The sequence below is a fragment of the Homo sapiens genome, chromosome 9 (assembly GCF_000001405.40).
Source record: "Homo sapiens chromosome 9, GRCh38.p14 Primary Assembly".
NCBI classification, from domain to species: Eukaryota; Metazoa; Chordata; class Mammalia; order Primates; family Hominidae; genus Homo; species Homo sapiens.
The window spans coordinates 26,085,329-26,105,884 of NC_000009.12; the positions used below are offsets into that span (position 1 = coordinate 26,085,329).

A 20,556-nucleotide genomic window follows, 5' to 3' on the forward strand; every position below is an offset into this window, starting at 1 on the left:
ATTGTAATTCCACAAAGATATATAAAGTGCAAATGAGACAGAAAATATATTTTTAAAAAGAATGGATAAACATGTATCAAATTGGATGAAACACAAACTGCATATCAAGGAAATTCAGCAAACCCCAAGTAGGATAACAATAAGGATAAGCATCCCCAGATGCATTAAGGTCAATAGGTAGGAAACCAAAAATTATTCAAAAGATCTTGAAAATGGCCAGAGGAAAAAGACACATGATAATATTAATTACAGCTAACTTCTCATAAGAAACTATAAAGAACAGAAAACAATGAGATCATTTAATAGATACAGGTTTCTACAAACCCATAATTCTATATACAACCTAATTATCTTTCAAATGAGCTGATGGAAAGAATTTTCACCTAAGCCAAAGGTTAAAGCATGTGCTGCCAGCAAAAGTACATTATTAAAAAAACTGATAAAAATAATAATAAAAAATACACTAAAGGGTCCATACTGTATGATTCTTTTATATGAAGTTCAAAAATAGACAACGCTTACTCTGGTGATCAAGATCAGAATTATTGTTACCTTTGGGGTGATGGGCCTTGATTGGGAGGAAGCACTAGGAAATTTCAGATAGGCTGGAAATAGTCTATATTTGGATCTGGGTAGTGATTACCAGGATGTAAAAATTTATTGAGCTGCACATTTTAGATTAATGCATTTTACTAAATGTAAGTTGTACCCCCATGAACCATGGTGCGTCCCCTATTTAAAAAAAAAAGAGTTCATAAAATGACGTATATAAAGCATACAATGCTTGATGTGTCATTGGAACTCAGTGTTAGCTTCCTTTCTGTCTTTAAAGATATCAAACCAGGTACCACATTTAACAGGACTATTAACAGACAAGAAGACATCGAAATACAAATAAATGCCATTAAAAATAAATCAGTATTCACATATTCTTAAGTGAAATTAATGAAAAGAACTGAAGACATTGCTTTAAAAAACACTTCAGATAAACTGAAAACATTTTCCAAATAGTTGAGGCTCTCCATGTCAAAGAGGGAGTGGATTTCTTTTCAGTTTCTAGAGTGCCCAGAACTAGTGAAGGAAACAAATTATCATCATCTACCTCTTAAAAAGTGATCTTCCCTCACTAGAGGCATTCAAGTAGCAGCTAGAAGACAATATCAAAGATATGATAAGAGGGTGACAACTCAAGTTGTTTAACCCTACGTTTTCAAGATACTGAGTAATTAACAAAGAAGGTCAGGCAGGGTGGCTCAAACCCTTAATCCTAGCACTTTGGGAGGCTGAGGTGGTAGATAGCTTGGGCCCAGGAGTTTGAGACCAGCTCTGGCAAATGGTGAAACCTCTTTGCTACAAAAAGCAAAACAAAAACAAAGAATTAGCTGGTTGTGGTGGTGCCTACCTGCAGTCCCAACTACTTGGGACTACCTGAGCCTGGGAGGTTGAGGCTGTAGTGAGCTGTAATTGCACCACTGCACTCCAGCCTGGATGATAGAATAAGACTCCATCTCAAAAAAAAAAAAAAAAAAAAAAGAAAAAGGAAAAAAAATGAACATAGAAGTCTCAGAAAGATGCAGAATATTCAGTGTCATCGAAGCATCCAAGGAAGCATATACTTGTACCCATTGCCTTCAAATAACATAACCCAGTTTTCTGAATACAGAAAATTTTCAGGTTCGTGAATATACAATTGACAATTTACAATTGAAGGTAGATAACTTTTGTCCAGTGGGAGGGGAAGTTGACAGAAAATAAGTATGAAGGAAGCATCATTGCATTTAGTTCTGTCTGTCAGATTACAAGGAAACAGGGGGCTCATACTATCTTAGATGACAATGGTTTATTTTAAGGATTCCTGGAAAGTGAGAAAGCACAAAAAAATTATCTGAAGGTAGAATAATTAGCGCTCATGGAGAATGAAATGCCATTCATAATCTTCCATAACATGGGTTCCATAAACTACTCAGAAATTCAATGAAAAGTTTTCTTCCATTTTGTTTTAATCTCCTTTTTAATTATTAAACCTTCCATGTCTTCTTCAATAAAGCTATATACCCTATAGTAAAACCAAAACACTAAAGTGCAGTGAAGCAGAGGATAACCATTATGTAAACCAGTTAGAAAGATTAAATGTGAAAAATATATCAAGACCACAGAACAATCCTTCCAATAACAGCAATGAAGAGGAATAAACAGAATGTATGTTTGCTCTAAAGATGGGTATATGGTTTTGTGGCTCTGACCATACTGTCCTATAAAGTAAATCAATACAGCTATATCTTTCCTATGATAACCAATGTTTTCACTTAAAATATTGGTTGGATTACCAGAGTCTGCCCAAAATACTCCATTCATGCTGCAAAATTCATCCACTGCCTCGGCATCAATTTTCAATGCCCTATCTACCACAGTTTAAGGCAATAAATGAGTCTTTATGTCTTTGATAGAATATGGAAAAAGATAAGAGTTTTATAAACTCTCCTATAGTTTATGAAAGAAGAAAAGAGGGGGCAACAAAAATCTGTACTTTATTTGCTGATAGAAGAAACTTAGATTAGATAAAAAAGCACAAGTGAAGAGCGTCAACATTTGGTCTAACTTTGTGAGTAACAGGAAGCAAATACTGGACTGCTTTCATTAATGGTCAATAAATTTCTTTCTATAAAGAATAAAACTTTTTATTCAGCAGGCATAATGAAATACAAATATTCTTTGGCAGAAAACACAAGGACTTAATTTTCTACTGACATTTAATGCATAGACATATAAAAGCGTATTTGGATGGATTCCGAAAGGATACGTAAATGTTACTACCTTGTACCCAGTTTGTCTTCATGCAGACACTGCTTTAAATCACTACTATCTGATTTATTCCAGAAAGCAGGTTTTAGTAAAGATTTCAGGGACAGAAAAAATAAGGATGCAGAAGATCTGAAAGTGTTTAATGGAGTGCTTGGGTTAAATAAGAGGAAGAACAATATTAAGAAGCTAGGATTTTCTGTTTCTCTATTTTGTCCTTACTACTGGCCCCCATTTAACAAGTTTTAGAATCTATTTTAGAAGAAAGAAGCAACGTTAACTCTTAATCTGGTAGGGTCTCACTTAGTAAATTAAGACCAAAACCACCAAATGGAATGTAATTTCATTACCTTCTTAAGTCAAATGTGTCTACTAAAATCTATGAGTTAAAATAGTGTAAGCTACAGTTTGAACATCACGATTATATGCTGAAAATGTCTAAGAAATTCTTCCAACACCAACACAGTTATTATATGAAAAAATACTTGTATACACATGGCATCAGACTTTTTATGACTCATTATAACTTCAAACTGCCCTTGAGCCAAAACTTTAAACTTTTTTTCATTTCTGAAATATCTACTGCCACTTTTAGCCTTCCCACTTACCCTTCATGCCTGAAGAACATTTACTCTGCATCTTTTCTTTAGGTATTCCTAGGAGCTATTGGGCTAATTGCTGCTCAATGTCATTTCAATTACTCTAGTACAAGATTTAATGAGAATAAAATCATATATTGCTTTTGTTTCATGAATTACCAGAATGGTTATTAGTTCTGGCATCCTTCAAGAATTCCCATGATGTTCTATCTATGGAAAAAATAGGAATTAATTTTAAGACTTGATCATAGCCCAATATAAAAAAGTTACTTTATTATATTGTCTTTCATTGAATGACTTACAAGTTCAGACATGTCAATTGACCTTCTTGAAGATGAATAATAAATGTGTATGTGTATTTCCTTACTGAGAAAAAGACACAATAATTCTCTAAATTACATTTTAAATAGCTTGGGATGTTATATTTCTATTTCAGAATGTTTAGAAAGTTGAAATCATTATACTTGAATAACTTTCTTAATTACATCATGAATTAATATGTCCTTATCAGATATTTTGAGCTAAACTAATATTCTCTGTATTAAGTACATACCATGATATTTCATATGTGTTCTATTGTTAGGATAAATGTTATTATATTCATTACATTATGAAATATATAGTCAGTGCACAACCATTATGATTATAAAAATCTTAATGTAATTCCATCTCTATCCCATATCAACTGTAATCTAAATAGTCTAAATTCAGTGTACTATATTCATAGACTGAAAGAGATTACAACTCTCCTCTATGTCTTTTCCAAGTAGAGAGTAGACACAAATTTATATAGTTATCATAATACTACTGTTTCATGTCAAAACTTTCATAAATAAGTATTTCCTTTCCCATATGTAATAATAGGCATGCATCAGGTATACATCTATATCACTAGAATAAAGCAGTTGACGGTTTTCATCTGCTGGACTCTGTGATTGCTTCTGCCTGGAAAGTCTTTTCCCACTCTGTCAACCTGGAAAACATCTACTTATTCATCAAGAATCAGCCTACCCAGAACATTTCCTGGGTGTTGATCTTGAAGTAACAACTTAGAGCAAGGGTATACAAAAATGTAATATAGGGTATACGAAAATAGGTAAAACTCTAATTATGCTCTCAAAATGATATCAGTCTGTCTGTTTGTGAACTTCAGCAAATTACCTATATTTTCAATGCCACAGTTTCATCAACTTAAAATGAGAATAAAATAGTACCCATATCAGAGGAGTGTTTGGGGTGCTATTTAAGAATATATATAAATTATTTTAAAAGAAAATCGAATACATAATACACAAAAAATGATAGATAGCAATAACAATCATAAAATTAATGTATAAATATATTTAAGAGAAAATATTAAATGTACAAAAAGAGAAGGACAAAGGAATTGCAGTGAGGATTTAAAGATAAGAAAAGACTATAGTAATCAATAATCAGTAACTAGAGTTTCTATCTCCAAACATGATAACTTGAGATACCCATAATTAGTATTAGTTAATATTAAAAGACTAAATTTTCCTCTTGAATACATTTCCCAAAGTATCTTCTTTGGGTTTCTTATTGAGGTATGCTGGGATGAGGCAACTTAGTGTTTGGTGAGCAAAGTTTGCTAATATTGTTTCTCTAACATGCTAAATAACTTGCTCATCATGGCGATAAGGAACTATGCCTATTCTAGCACTATCCTCATTCCATATCACAGCAAAGATGTATTCCTATTTTGTTATTCATGAATTTCTCTACATATTAGTGACCAATTGTGCTGTAGATTGTTGGAAATAGCAAACAATTGGTCAAATCATCAAACTTTGTGTATAGATGCAGCCAAAATCAAACTTTTTTTTTTAAGTGCTTGAGTTGAGCGACTCACAGTTCAAAGTTTACACCCATTTATTCTCAAAAGTTACTCTGTGAAGAAAAATCCATGCTATATTTTACAGATCTACTGTAAGACACACTCACTTTTTTTGCACATTTTTAAATTCCGTTTCCTATGCTTTCTATTATTATTTGGATAGCATTGGGGGAAGAAAACTTTAATCATAAAATCAATACTTTAGATCCAAACTCATGAATTCATTACCATAGACCAGTGAAATGCAAGTCTCAGGCCCTGAAAGTTTTCAGTTCTGTCCCTGATACTGATCCATGCATCCATTAAAGTCTTCTTTTTCAGCCTTTACTAAATTAAGATATTTAAAATGGACTGATGTATGTGATACATGAGAAAAGTACTATAAAGCTAAGGAGCCCAATCAAAGGAGTTTGCAAAATAGACAGCGACTATCAGACAATCTTCTGCATTCACTTGCGCCACAGTGTTCACTACTAAATTTTATTAATAACTGGATAATTTGCAAAGGTACATATGCTTCAGGAGGTAAATGTAATGCTAAATATGCTCTGTGTGCTAGGGCTATGGACACACACCTACTTGAGATTAAACTGATACAAAATTGGGACAATAAGCTTTACAACTATATTAGATCTATATCTCCTTTTTTCCACACTGAGAATCCTGGTTTTCTAGGCTAAAGTTAGAATAGATTAAAATTTCCCATGATTAATAATCTATGTTAGATCTATATCTCGTTTTTGCACACTGACAATCCTGTTTTTCTAGGTTAAAGTTACCATAGATTAAAATTTCCTGTGATTAATAATTTGCTTTATTTCATTTTATGAGTTGAATTGTGCCTCCCAAAAGATGTTGAAGTCATAACTGCCAATACCTGTGAATGTGGCCTTATTTGGAAATAGGGTCTCTGCAGATGATGAAGTTAAGATGAGGTCATTAGAGTGGGCCCTAATCAAATACGACTGTGTCCTTATAAAAATATGAAATTTGGACACAAAGACAGAGAAACAGAGAGAGAAGACAATGTGAAGACACAGGAAGAACCCCATCTAATAGCCAAAGAAAACCTGGGGCTAGCCAGAGGCTAAGAGAAACCATGGAACAGAGTCTTCCTCAGAGACTTGAGAAGGAACCAATCATGCTGACACCTAGATTTCAGGCTTCTAGACTGAAGAAATGTGAGGCAATGAATTTCTGTTGTTTAAGCTAACCAGTTTGTGGTATTTTGTTTTGGCAGCTCTAGCAAACTAACACATTCTGTAATACCAAAAAACAGATATGAAAGTTCAATATTAATATTACTATATCTTTTATAATACCTGAAACTAGTTACATTTTTGTATACCTTCTTCTTCCCCCATTTGTAAATATAGCATGATATCTATATCATAAAAAAATAGCCATCACATACTGTACTCTATCTCTATTAATTGAACTTTCATTTATTCATAGTTTTATAAGTAACCATATAGTTGACATTCATGACCTATTCATAAGTCTATCTCTGTCTATTATTTTGGTTGTCTGAAGCTTCTTATCTAGTAGATTCCTGAGGAAGAGTTCATTGGGAAAGTATTCCCTATTTCATTTTACTTTAATAATTTTTTGATCCTACTATACTATAGATTTTGCTAAATATAAAATCCTTGGCTCACATTTTTTTCTTTGAGTATTTTAAATGTGTTGGTTCCATGTCATCTGGAATTATTACTGTTAACAAGACTAAAAGTTACTAAATTTTCATTTTCTTATAAGTCACCTTTTCTTTTTGCCTAGATATCCAAAGGATATTTTTTCCAGTTATTTCACTAGTTATTCACAGAACATCTCTTGATGTTGGTCATTCTGGGGCAATATTCTCAGGTATGGAGTATGTTTTTTCATACGTATGTATATGTTTGTGTGTGTGTGTATATATACATCAAAAGTTTATATATATATCAAATGACATTTTAGTTTTTTATTGTACTTTTTCTTCTGATACATCTATTATGCGTATGAAGGGTCTTCTTAGCACATATATTCAATAATTGCCATTTTCTCTACTCCTTGTCTATTTGTAAAAATTAAAAAACAAAACAAAACAAAATCAATGTACCCAATATGTTTGAGCTTATTTCAGACCTATCTCCTCTTGAATCCTTAAGCCAAATATTAATGTAAGCTGGCAACTATGTTCTTCTTTTCCCAGAAGTGTTTTCACTATCCTAGGTGACTTGTATTTTCATACAGATTTCAAAATAAGTTCATAAATAAATATCTTCAAGAAGGCTTGCTAGTATGTTTATAGAAATTGTGTTGTATCTATAGAATAATTTAACATCTGATATGGTTTGGCTCTGTGACCCCCACCCAAATCTAATCTCAAATTGTAATTCCCCACGTGTCTAGGGAGGGACCTGCTGGGAGGTGATTGGATCTTGAGGGCAATTTCCCTCATGCTGTTCTGTGATAGTAAGGGAGTTCTCACAAGATCCGGTTTTTTGGTTTTTGTTTTTGTGTTTCTTTTTTTTTTGATAAAAGTCTAGTGCTTGCCCCTGCTCCTGCTCTCTCTCTTCTGCCGCCTTGTGAAGAAGGTGCTTGCTTCTGCTTTGTCTTCCACCATGATTTTAAGTTTCCTGAGGCCTTCCAAGTTATGCAAAAGTGTGAGTTAACTAAACCTTTTTTATTTATAAATTACCAAATCTTACCTGAATATGGTAAGTCTCAATTGATTTAGGTCTTTTTTAAATTTTTTTGAGCAAAATTCTATAGTTTTAAGACCTTTTAAATAATTTGCTAAATTTATGCCTAATTATTTCAGTTTTATTCCATTGAAACTGGTATCTGAAAATTTTAATTTCTATTTATTCATTGCCAGCATAAAGAAATACAACTGGACTTTCTCTCATTGACCTTGTACACCATGAGCTCAGTAAATTAATTTTTTAATTCTTGTAGTTTTTTGGCAGACTTTTTAGCACATATGCATGTATGATTATGTCACCTAAAAATTTTCGAAAATTATTTTATTTCAAAATGGTTTGCTTTTTACTAACTCCCCTTCCAATTCTTAGTGGGCTAGGATGCTCAGTGTAATGCTCAATAGAAAAATGAGAGAATACATACTTACCTTGTTTATGATATTAGGAGGAAAACATTCCTTTTTTACTATTAAAGATGATGTTAGCTGTAGATGTTCTGTAGATTCTCTTTATCGGATTGAGGAATTTCTCTTCTATTCCTAGCATAAGGAAAGCTTTCCTCATTTATGGATATTAAGTTTTTCAAACACTTTTCCTGTCTTTATTGAGATGAACTTTTTATTGCTTTTTCAGTTAATATGATAATTGCATTGATTTTTCATTTAAAATAAGGCTAACTTTTGATGTTGGAGGTAAACTCCACTTGAGCATGGTGTGATTTTTTAAATATATACTGCTGCAATTTGGTAATATTTTGTTAACAAATTTTAGTTCTATGCTTGGAGCAAAAATGATATATGGTTTCTTTCCTTTTGATGTTTTAAATCTATTTTTAGTATCAGGGTAATGCTGTCTTCATAAAATGACATGGGAATTGGTCCCTTCTTTTCTATGTTTTGGAAGAGTTTGTGTGAAATCAGTATTATTTTTTATGCTTGGTAGAACTAGGAAAGCTAGAGGAACCCATAGTTCTTCCCCTTCTGAGATCCCAATTACCTGAATTTTGGATTATTTGATAATTTTCCCACTGGTCACTGAGATGTTGCTTTTTGTTGTTCTTAATTTTCCTCTGTGTACTTTATTTTAGATAGCTTATTTGCTTATATTTTAAAATGCACTGATTTATTTTTTCATTGTGTATTATTGTTTCAGTCTCATGCAGGGATTTTTATTATAAATATTGTATTTTCATCTCTAACGGCTCTATTTTCTTTTATTTTGCAGTTCCATTTGGCTTTTCATTATATTCATATTTAATTTGGAGGATATTGATTATATTTATAACTACTGTTTTAAAATTATTGCCTGGGCTGGAATCAGTGGCTCATGCCTGTAATCCCAGCACTTGGGGAGGCCAAGGTGAGTAGATCACTTGAGCTCAGGAGTTGAAGACCAACCTGGGCAACATGCCAAAAGCCCCATCTACCAAAAATACAAAAATTAGCTGGGCATGGTGGTGTGCACATATAGTCCCAGCCACTAAGGACATAGAGGTGGGAGGATGGCTTGAGCCCCAGAGGTAGAGGTTGCAGTGAGCCAAGTTTGTGCCACTGTCCTAGGTGACAGGGCAAGACCCTACCTGAAAACAAATAAATAATAATAATAATAAATAAAATAAAATTCTTGTCTGAAATTCCATCATTTCTGTTACATCTGAGGCATGATTTATATCTCTCCCAGTTGGGGGTAACATTCTCCCACTTTTTGGCAAAATTATCAGTTTTGTCAAAAATAGTTTTGATTAGTCAATATTTGATTGGTGAGTGTTAAGCATTGCAAATATTACATTATAGAGTGTATCAATTTTGTTTTCTACTCTTATAATGTGTTTGGCTTTGATCTCAGAAGCAGTTAAACTACTTGCAGCTCATATTTATTAATTTAATGTTTGTTCTTAGTCTTTGTTGTAGAGTTTAGACTATGCTCTACTTTAAATCTAGTTGCAGTCCTAAAATAGGGCATGATGATTCTGGGAATCTGTCACAAACCCTAGTCAATCAGTGAGGATTGTAGATCCTGACTTACTGAAGCTCTAAGATTACATTAATTCCATGTTTTGCAATAAGAGTTGAAAATTATTAAACTTATAGCTGCCGTGTCGATTTTTGTCCAACCTTGTGGCATTTCATGCTATTCATTCCTGAGTCTTAGTCCCAAGATGTCCCAGTGCAAATTTTTAGGTCATTTTTTGGTTTTGGTTTTGTTTTAATGTTGTAGCTCCTTCTTTTCTGAAACTCTGATCTAAAATATTTAGCCAGTTCAACTTCTTAAAGTTTGATCTCTGTTTCCTCAACTGAGTAAAACTGCTGTGCTCTGTTTAGGATACCCCTTCATGCACCATGGTCTAGAACGTACCTTAGGCAGGAATCCAAGTCAACTGTATGGCTACCTTGTTTGTTTTTTTCTTTTCTCAGGAATCATAGTTTTCTTTTTCCTGCTTTCTAATATCTAAAATGAATTTTTAATGTATCTTATTTTATTTTCTATCTATTTTTTATACTAAGAATGTAAGAATGTAAGTTCAATTCTTGTTAGTCCATCTTGGGTAGAAGAAGTTATCTATCCGATTTCTCTTTATTTTTTAGAAATTTCCACCTTTTCACATTCTATTTCTCTTAAGTCACTCTCTGTTCTATTTATTTGGTCATGTGTTTTCTCTAGTTTAGTACCCACTTATTAAAAACTTTTATTTCATTTCTAATTATTTATAGACTTTCATTATCTCATTTCTGAGGATTTTTCTGGTTGATGTTGGTCTTTCATGTTTTGTGTTATTTTCCTAATATCTTTTAGGTAACTTAGCAAATGATAGGCTACAGTATGGATTCATTTTGGGTGTGCCTCTCTGCTTTTTGTAGTACTTTCATGGAAGAAATGCCATTTTACTCTTAATTTTATTTTTCCTTATGATGACTTCAAAGGAAATTTTACTTCAATACTTTCCTATCGTTCAATGTGTTTCCTGAACTTTTAAGTGGTGATTTGTTAAGGATACCTTTTCCACTTTCACAAAGCTCCATTTTCTGCTGTTTTCACAGTGTTAAAACAAAGAAACAAACAAACAAAACTCCTTGCTTTTTGGCCTTCTAAAATTTCCTACCTTTGTAACCCTACTTCAGTTTTACTTGGTTGTTCTCTTTCCTTCATCTGTCCTCTCCCTATTCTACTTAATTTTGATACCATTTCAGCAACTACTCCTCAGTGTGGTCCTACATCATGTAAGAGAAACCAGGCTGGTTAAGGTTTAGGAATCATAGGGTCTGGTATGCTTTAGCCCCTTCAAATCTCTTCAGTGTCCCATGTAACCACCCTATATGGGATTGGACAAAATTCATCCCAAATTACCCAAGATCTGATAAGATTTCCTAAGACTCTGGCCTCAGATTCACCAATGAGGATTTCCATGGAATATCTGTTGATCCTTTTACAAATCTCCTGTTCTCAAGTCCTGCACAGACTCTAATATGACAAGAATCACGTAGCCAGTAGTGTTTTATTCCTTATGTCTTGTAATCTGTGATTCACAAGGATACTTTCTCACCTAATTGTGTTGCAAATGTTTTTCACCCATTGTTGGTCTTAATATCTGATTGATCTGTCTATTTTTACATGAGGATTTGAAGTCGCTCAAAATCTGTTTTGCTACTACCACCATACCCCTAGGATCCTCCAAATCAGTAATTTTTTGAATGAAAAGTGGTGATATTAAAAGTTACTCTATAACAAATGGCATAGATTGGAACTGCTCTAGTCAAACTGAAATGTATGGCCATTGTATCCACAGCCTAAGGATAAAATTCACAAGCCTTAGCTTGGCCTGCAATATCCTTAAAGATTTGGTCTTTACTTACCTCTTCATTACATTTCCTTCCATCACTGACTCAAATATATTCTATGCATTAAACATAATAATGTATATACAAATAAAGTTTCACAAATAAACAGTGTTTCATGGTTTTGGTGTTCTTAATTACACCAAATTAACCAGAGTAATGGAGGAGTTTTAGTATGAGCCATTATCCCTCAAAGACCCTGGAAAACTCATACATACCCCTTATGATACTGAGTCTTAAGCATTGTTGATGGAAGCAAGGGGCATGGAGAGTGTTACAGTGTTACCTTATCATCAGTTTCTTTTGGAGGGGCTTAAGACACCAAAGCTCACCCTCTCAACTTACATAGTATAGTATATATCCTTAGACCAAAAGCTGAACTCATGTGAGTTAATGGCTTAAGTAGCAGAAACAGCTTTTTCCTTATATCACTGACCAAATTTACCTTGGTGCAGGCAAGCTAAACTTGCCACTCTGTATATTCAGGTGTTTAAAAGTGGAAGCTTATTTGTTAGGAGACATACTGTCTAATCTCCCAACTTGGATTCAAAATCAAAATACTCCCATCGTGTGGGAGACTCCAGTTGTCAGAGAATATAACATTAGTGACTTCTCTTTGACAATGCCTTGACTATTGCTTAGCCTCTGTCTATCACAGCTGGTCCAAGGGGCTGAGCTGAGTTTCAGAGCATGAAATTAAAAAGTAGGATATACATTTCTCAGGCCAAGCTTATGATTATTGCTCAATTGATTAAGTTTCTTTGTGTGTGCCTCTGTCTATATAAAGAGGCTTTTCTTGTTATTGGTCCTTCTTATTCAGTTATGGTACAGAAGTCATAACTTATTTAGAATCAGTTTATCCACTCCTAAGACTAGTTTATTATCAAGATAGATATCTCAGTCTTAGTGAAACAGAGTTTATAAGCACTGAAGCAAGACAAGGAAGCACTTAAAAGAATGAGAGTTTGTCTAATTTCTTCATTTAAAGGAAGCATTTCAAGCCTTAATATTTTAACTTTATTGAAGATTATTTCTCCCTTTCCCAAGAAAATAGAAATATTATTTAAGAAATCTATCTATGCTGTCATATACACTTCCATGTTTTCTGTAAATTCTATTCTATCCTTAAGATTCTTTAAAGACTCTCCACCTAGTCCTTCAAATTTGTAATAGATATTTCTTCTTTATCCACCAAGATTTCAATAATTTTTTCACCTTTTGTATGCCCATAGTACTTCGTTAATACATCTGTATGTACATCTAATTTTATTGTGGTAAAGTAATTTGAACAGATTTTTTTCTTTCCTGCTAGCCTCTCTCTTACTTCCTTATGAATAGAGGCTGTACCTTATTCATCTTTATATCTCTGAGCATAACATAGTTGCCAGACATATGGTTAGCATTCAAAATATATTTGTTGAATAATAAATTATTTAATTAGTAAAAATGATAACTAAATTTTAATGAGCACATGTACTATTCTGTGGACACTGCTAAATTTAGAACAAATTTGCAAAGTACATGGTATTATTTTATCTACCTCAAACTGAAGAACATGAGGCCCAGCGAAGTTAAAAAAATTGCTTACCATAATGTGGTTGATATAATCTCATATAATTGGCTATATAATCTTAACAAAGTTACTTAAGAAAAAATATTTCAAGGAAATGAAAAAAAATGTATAAGGGTAGGTATGCTTAGAAAAAGTAAGTAGATATTGCATCCATCAGGGCCCATTCAAGAAAACTGAAACCTTACCAGCCATTTCAACAGAAAGAATTTAATATTGAGAATTGGTTACACAGGCATTGGAAAGCTCAAAGAGCCTAAAGGAAATACTGAGTAAATTCCAAGATAGCAATTGAAGATAATAGCTATCATCTGTATTATTTGGGTAACTAAAGAGAAGAAGTAAAATCACCAAAATTTAGAAGCTCAAAGAACAAATTCTATAGACAGAACTATTCTCAGATCTCTGAGGTGGAAATATCACTTAGCTGCTCCTGCTACCTTTGAGGGGACATTTGGTGCTGGCACTGGGAATCCTGAAAAAGCAGGAATCTAAAAAAGAAATGTCCTTTCTGCCTCACTCCTGTCTTTCAATCTTCCTCTAGTGTCTCTTATTGACAGAACTCAAAAAACAGAAGCCACTGGGCAAGGAAGTCTAAGAAATGTCGCTTTCAGAGTTCCAGCCACAGCATCATAAAGCAGTCTAGAAGTGTTGGTTTGGAATTCAGACAATAGGAAAATAACTGACATGCCTAATCTAGATATAATTTGAATTTTTTTGATGAGTTTATGTGTGAGGGAAAAATTCAAAAGGTAAAAATGACTCATTTTTTCAAATATCTGCTAAGCACCATACACCATGTTAAGCTCTTAAAAATACTACTTATTCAACAAACATTTATTGACTGTATACTATTTCCAGCCACTGTAAAAGACCCTTTAAGTGTAATGGTGCATAGAATGACATTATAATTTTTTCATGGATTTAGAGACTTGAAGGAAAAATGGGCAAATAAATATGTGTTTATAACATGTGTACCTATATAACTTGAATCAGGTAACAATCTTGAAAAGGAGTCAGAAAAGAAATTAAGAATAAAGAAGTGATTTAAATTTTCAAGGGCTTTAAGGACTAAGTAGCACAGACAGGATCTGAACATTGAAATGTAAGAGCTGAGGTCTATGTCTGTTCCCAAGGTACCACTCTTCTTGGTGAGTGAGAGAAGTCTAGAATGGCATCTTGACTGCTGAGTTCTGCAGGCTCATAGAGGGAAAAGCTAAAAAATAAGTTAGTTGATTTTACTCTTATTCTTTAGCTTCCTCAAAAATTGCAAATGAATATCTTACATGGATACCATGCCAAGGGAAAATAAATTCTCATTAGTTTTATCAAAGTGTTTATACTTTACATTTGTAGAGCCACATTACATGTGTGTTTCTGCGCTTTGGACTAACTAGACATCCTGTTGATCAATAAGGTTAGGGGAGAAAACCCCCTTATTTCATCCTCCAGTATGATTTCCTGAAAAAGCATGGTACTAAAATTTCAACTACAAGAAGAATTGCTAGAGGCTATAAAAATTCTCTTTTGTGCTAGATAAATGATGTTGAGTGTTTTGGTTGTTTTGTTTTATCATTTCAAAACTCTATTAGTTATTTCTCATGACTGCCTAGTAGCTATGAGCTGTATGACCTGAGTCACTGGGAAAAGAGACAGAGCAGAATTCATTAGAGCTGAAAGAATCTTTAAACCATTTGATTTACACATAAAGAAACTGTGACACTGGAGAAGTTAAGTGACTTCTCTCAGTCTCCCATTATTAGCTTGTTAGGGGGAAAAATCTATTAAATATTGAGATCATGACCACAGGTCCCAGCCCTTTCCACAGTGTCATATATGTTAAATATATTTAGTTCTTCATAAAAGAAAAAAAGCAGTTAAATGAACTGGTGCAAAAGGTTTAACAGCACTTAGAGACTTCAGTAATGAAGATATTGTTTAGAAATTCCTGGGACCTAGGAAGTAACTCCCAGTAATCTCATCACTTGAAGCCGCTGATTTGAAAGATAATTTTGGTTGGAAAGAGGAATTCACTGTTAATAATTTAAAATGGAGGACACAAGTTGGTGGGATTGCAAGATGAGAACGTTCTGGCAATGTAGATTTAGGTAGTTTCATAGAGCCCAAGGAAATTCATACAAGCATCTTGGCATAAAACTCTGACACTTGTTAAGTGCAGTACAAGAGATTGAGAATATTAGGGAAAGGTGGTTATGTCCAGGGTAGAACCACCGAATAGGATCTAAGTGACTTTATGTGAGATCTTCATGAAAAGAGAAACATTGAAGCCTAAGTTTCATAGACCTATATGTAGCTCCTGGAGGTTTTATTGACTGTAAATGCTATATTGACCAGTAGAATAAATTTGCCTGATATTTTCTCTTTGCATTTCCCAAATAGTTTCTGAGTGAACATGGAAAAAAATAATCAGTTACTGAGATACTAATACCTGGCATAAGCAAACAAAAACTAAGCTTATGCCATTAAAAAAAAGATTCTAATAGGCTAAAAACAAACCAGGAAGCAGAAGCCCATTATGAGTCCTCCTATTCTAAAAATAGAGTGATGATCTCCACAAGTGGAGACCATGTGTTCTATAGGGTCTCCAAATTCAGCCCAATTTAAGGAGTATTGTCCTGTCTTTGTTTTTTGAATCAGAGAGAGCTAGGTTTCAATCCTGGAACCTACATTAAGGCAGTGTGACTTCAAAGAATTTACCTAATTTTCTGAGTCTTACTTTAAAATAGAAATAACTGGCCAGGCACAGTGGTTCATGCCTGTAATCCCAGCACTTTGGGAGGCCAAGGTGGGCAGATCACTTGAGGTCAGGAGTTGGAGACCAGCCTGGCCAACATGGCAAAACCCTGTCTCTACTAAAAATACAAAAATTATCTGGGCCAGGTGGTGCAGGTCTGTAATCCCAGCTACTCAGGAGACTGAGGCAGGAGAATCACTTGAACCTGGGAGGCAGAGGTTGCAGTGAGCCAAGATCGCTCCACTGCACTCCAGTCTGGGAATAATCAATACGGTTCTTAAAGAATTCCTATTACATTTTTTGAAATATATGAAAAGAAAATTTTAGAAAGAATAGTCCCTGATATATAATAGAAATTTGACACACCAGAATTACTGAAAAGAAGTTGTTTCAATATGATGGAAAAGATACATATGGAGTAGGCAGTTTGCTGCCTAATGTTCAACATAATTTGATTACTTTTAGCACTATGTTTGGACTTCCTAAACAGAAAGGAGAAAATCATAAATAGCTCTCATTCTGAAAAGAATAGATAAAAAGGTACTGTCAGATAAGGAATGAGAGAAGATGAAGATTGTTGTGGAGATTGACCAGCTATAATATTTCACATATTAATTAGCTTTTGCTTGTTACTTGCTGCTTCCCTAAGAATATAGGTCTTATCGGACACCTGAAGCCAAGTCAAATAAAGGGCATTAAGTAGGTCAGGCAAAGAACATTTAATTGACTTTATTTAATCATTCCACATCATATACACATATCAAAACATCATACTGTGCCCCATAAACACAGACAACATAATTTGTCAATTAGAAATAAAAGAAAAAGAAAATATAAATCTTTTCAAACTTTGAGAAGATAATAAAATGAGGTGAGTTTTATTCATGCTTTCATTTATTCAATATTATTAAGCAACTATTATATATACTGGAGATTTCATGGAAAACAAAAATAGTCATGTACCTGACTTTCTGGAGCTTATAGTTTAGTTTAGGAAACAAATAATAATCAAAATCCCATAAATGTGTAATTATAAACTGTAATGAATTCAATGATGAAAAAATACAGAAAATGTAGAGAGTATTTCTGAAAAACCTGAGTAAATCCAAAGGCCAGAAGGACTCCCATGAGGAAGAGACAAACTGGCTGATATCTGAGAGATATAGAGGAGTTAACCAGGTGGAATGGTAGGAAGAGAACTACCAAGGCCTAGAGGGAGGAAAGAACATGGGAATGTTTAAGGAACTACACAAGAGGTATTAGGCTGGAGCACAAACAAAGAGGGGCATGGAGGCAAAATAGGGTCTTGGATGCAAAGAGAGAAGCCAGATAATTTAAAGCATGTAGATCTTGGTAAAAATTTTATTTCTTATATTAATTAAGGGCTTTAAACAGAGTAGTGACATTACTGAAATTGCGTTTTTAAGTGCTGACTATTCTTAAAGAATGACCTGGAGAAAGATAAAAGTTGTTACTGAGAGAATTATGAAGCTCCTGCCATTGTTCAGTAAACAGATATGATAGCTTCATCTAAGATGACAATAAAAACAGAAAGAAGTAGATAGATTCAAGTTGGGAAGCTGGCTTATGTGCTTAAACTTCTTGGTAGACTAGATGTGGAGGATATAGATATGGAGGGCAGGAGGAGGTGTACTGAGAGCTGAAGGTTTGATTTGGGTTAGAAGAAGGGAGATAGAAAAGACAGCTATAAGTGTAAAATTACCCTTATCAGTTGACATTATGCTCTGACTGAGATGTCCTCATTGCTTCAAGGAATCCCTACTGGGAGAAAGTAGGAAACCATATATGTAAGCAGGATGAGCTTGGCCCAAATACACTGCCCTTCTTGTCTTTTTCTGATGGATATGAAGAATCTGATGGTCTAGATAATCTTCTGAGTATACAGATGCAGTTTGTGGTGGCCAGCCTACACACCATCCCCAAAGGCCCTGTAGCAGGAGAATCTAATACCTGAGACCCTATAGAACAGATGGTCTCCACTTGTAGAGATCATCACTCTATTTTGGGGATAGGAGGACTCATAATGAGCTTCTGCTTCCTGGTTTGTTTTTAGCCTATTAGAATCTTTTTTTTAATGGCATAAGCTTAGTTTTTGTTTGCTTATGCCAGGTATTAGTATCTCAGATATTAGTTGACGCTAATACTTAGCGTCAACTTCATTGGATTGAAGGATGCAAAGTATTGATCCTGGGTGTGTCTGTGAGGGTGTTGCCAAAGGAGATTAACATTTGAATCAGTGGGCTGGGAAAAGCAGACCCACCCTTAATCTGGGTGGGCACAATCTAACCAGCTGCCAACACGGTCAGAGTAAAAAGCAGGCAGAAGAACATGAAAAGATCAGACTGGCTTAGCCTCCCAGCTTACATCTTTCTTTTGTGCTTCATGCTTCCTATCCTTGAACATTGGACTTCAAGTTCTTCAGCTTTGGGACTTGGACTGGCTTCCTTGTTCCTCAGCTTACAGATGATTTATTGTGGGATCATGTGATCATGTGAGTTAATGTTCCTTAATAAACTCCTCTCTCTCTCTCTCTCTCTCTCTCTCTCTCTGCCTAAACTCCTTGCCTCTCATGAGCGGTGAATCAGGAGTGTTAAAGGCATTTATTTTGCATAACTTTCTAAACAGTTAATACCAAGGACTATCAGTGTTCTGTGTGTGTGTGTGTGTGTATATTTATATATATATACACATATATATACACATATATACACATATGTGTATGTGTATGTGTACACACATACACACATATATACACGTGTGTATGTGTACACACATACACTCATATATACACGTGTGTATGTGTACACACATACACACATATATACACGTGTGTATGTGTACACACATACACACATATATACACGTGTGTATGTGTACACACATACACACATATATACACGTGTGTATGTGTACACACATACACACATATATACACGTGTGTGTGTGTACACACATACACACATATATACACGTGTGTGTACACACATACACACATATATACACGTGTGTGTACACACATACACACATATATACACGTGTGTGTACACACATACACACATATATACACGTGTGTGTACACACATACACACATATATACGTGTGTGTGTACACACATACACACATATATACGTGTGTGTGTACACACATACACACATATATACGTGTGTGTGTACACACATACACACATATATACGTGTGTGTGTACACACATATATACGTGTGTGTGTACACACATATATATGTATGTGTATATACACAGATATATATGTATGTGTATATACACACATATATATGTATGTGTATATACACACATATATATGTGTATGTGGATATATACATCCACATACACACATATATGTGTATATACACATACACACATATATATGTGTATGTGGATATATACATATATACATATATAGTGTATGTGTATATATACATATATACATATATGTGTGTATGTGTATATATACATATATATGTGTATGTGTATATATACATATATATGTGTATGTGTATATATACATATATATGTGTATGTGTATATATACATATATTCATATATATCTGTGTGTGTGTGTGTGTGTGTGTGTGTGTGTGTGTGTGTGTGTGTATATTCTATTAGTTCTGTCCCTCTAGAGAATCCTAATACAGATTTAGGTACCAGGAGTGGTTCTAGAGGAACAGAGTATTAAGGGTGGAGTTCCTTCATGGTTTAGGGGTTTCTAGAGTTGGCTGCCTAATATGATTAGACCCAAAAATGCTAAGGACTCTACTTCTAATAGTATGGAGAACACTGATAGTCCTTGGTATTAACTCTTTAGAAAGTTATGCAAAATAAATGCATTTAACACTCCTGATTCACCACTCGTGACAGGCAAGGAGTTTAGTGACTCTATGCATAATACCTTTGACTATATGTGGAGAACCAAGGAACATAATGAAGTTGTTTGGTTGCTCCTAAGTTCACTGGACCATGATGAAAGAAAATGATGAACTCGGGGATTCTAACTCCTGGCTTCAGAAGCAGATACTGAGTGTCAAATCTGCTAAGATTGCCCTGAGTGAGAATCTTATCTCCTGTAGAGAAAGAGCTGAAATTGTGGAAAATCAGACACAAGTTCTTCTCGTGCAAGTGGCTGACTGGCAATGAAAGGTGCATGCACAGCCTCACCAGGTGTCTACTATTAAAGTGAGTGCATTGATTGGAAAAGAATGGAACCCTACAACTTGGAATGGGGATGCGTGGGAGGACCCTGATGAAGCTAGGGACACCGAGCTTGTAAACTCTGATGTACCTTTTTTTTGCCAAAAGAAACAGCTTCCCCATTCCCAGTAGTGGCAACACCCCTCTAAACCCATGCTACCATCAACGTTTCCACCTTTGTCTGAGGAGACAAACCATGTGCTGCCTGAGGTAACAGTGATGGCCTCTCCTGA

The 20,556-nt window shown here is 34.3% G+C and overlaps 1 long non-coding RNA gene across 1 annotated transcript in view; it reads left to right on the forward strand.

Annotated features, from left to right (window-relative positions):
* Nucleotides 1-20,556, forward strand: part of LINC03106 (long intergenic non-protein coding RNA 3106) — a 51,734-nt gene that overhangs the window by 18,654 nt on the left and 12,524 nt on the right. The window contains exons 2-3 of the long non-coding RNA NR_170894.1: nucleotides 7,033-7,119; nucleotides 9,165-9,299. This is a non-coding gene — a long non-coding RNA (long intergenic non-protein coding RNA 3106). The remainder of the gene's footprint in view (nucleotides 1-7,032; nucleotides 7,120-9,164; nucleotides 9,300-20,556) is intronic.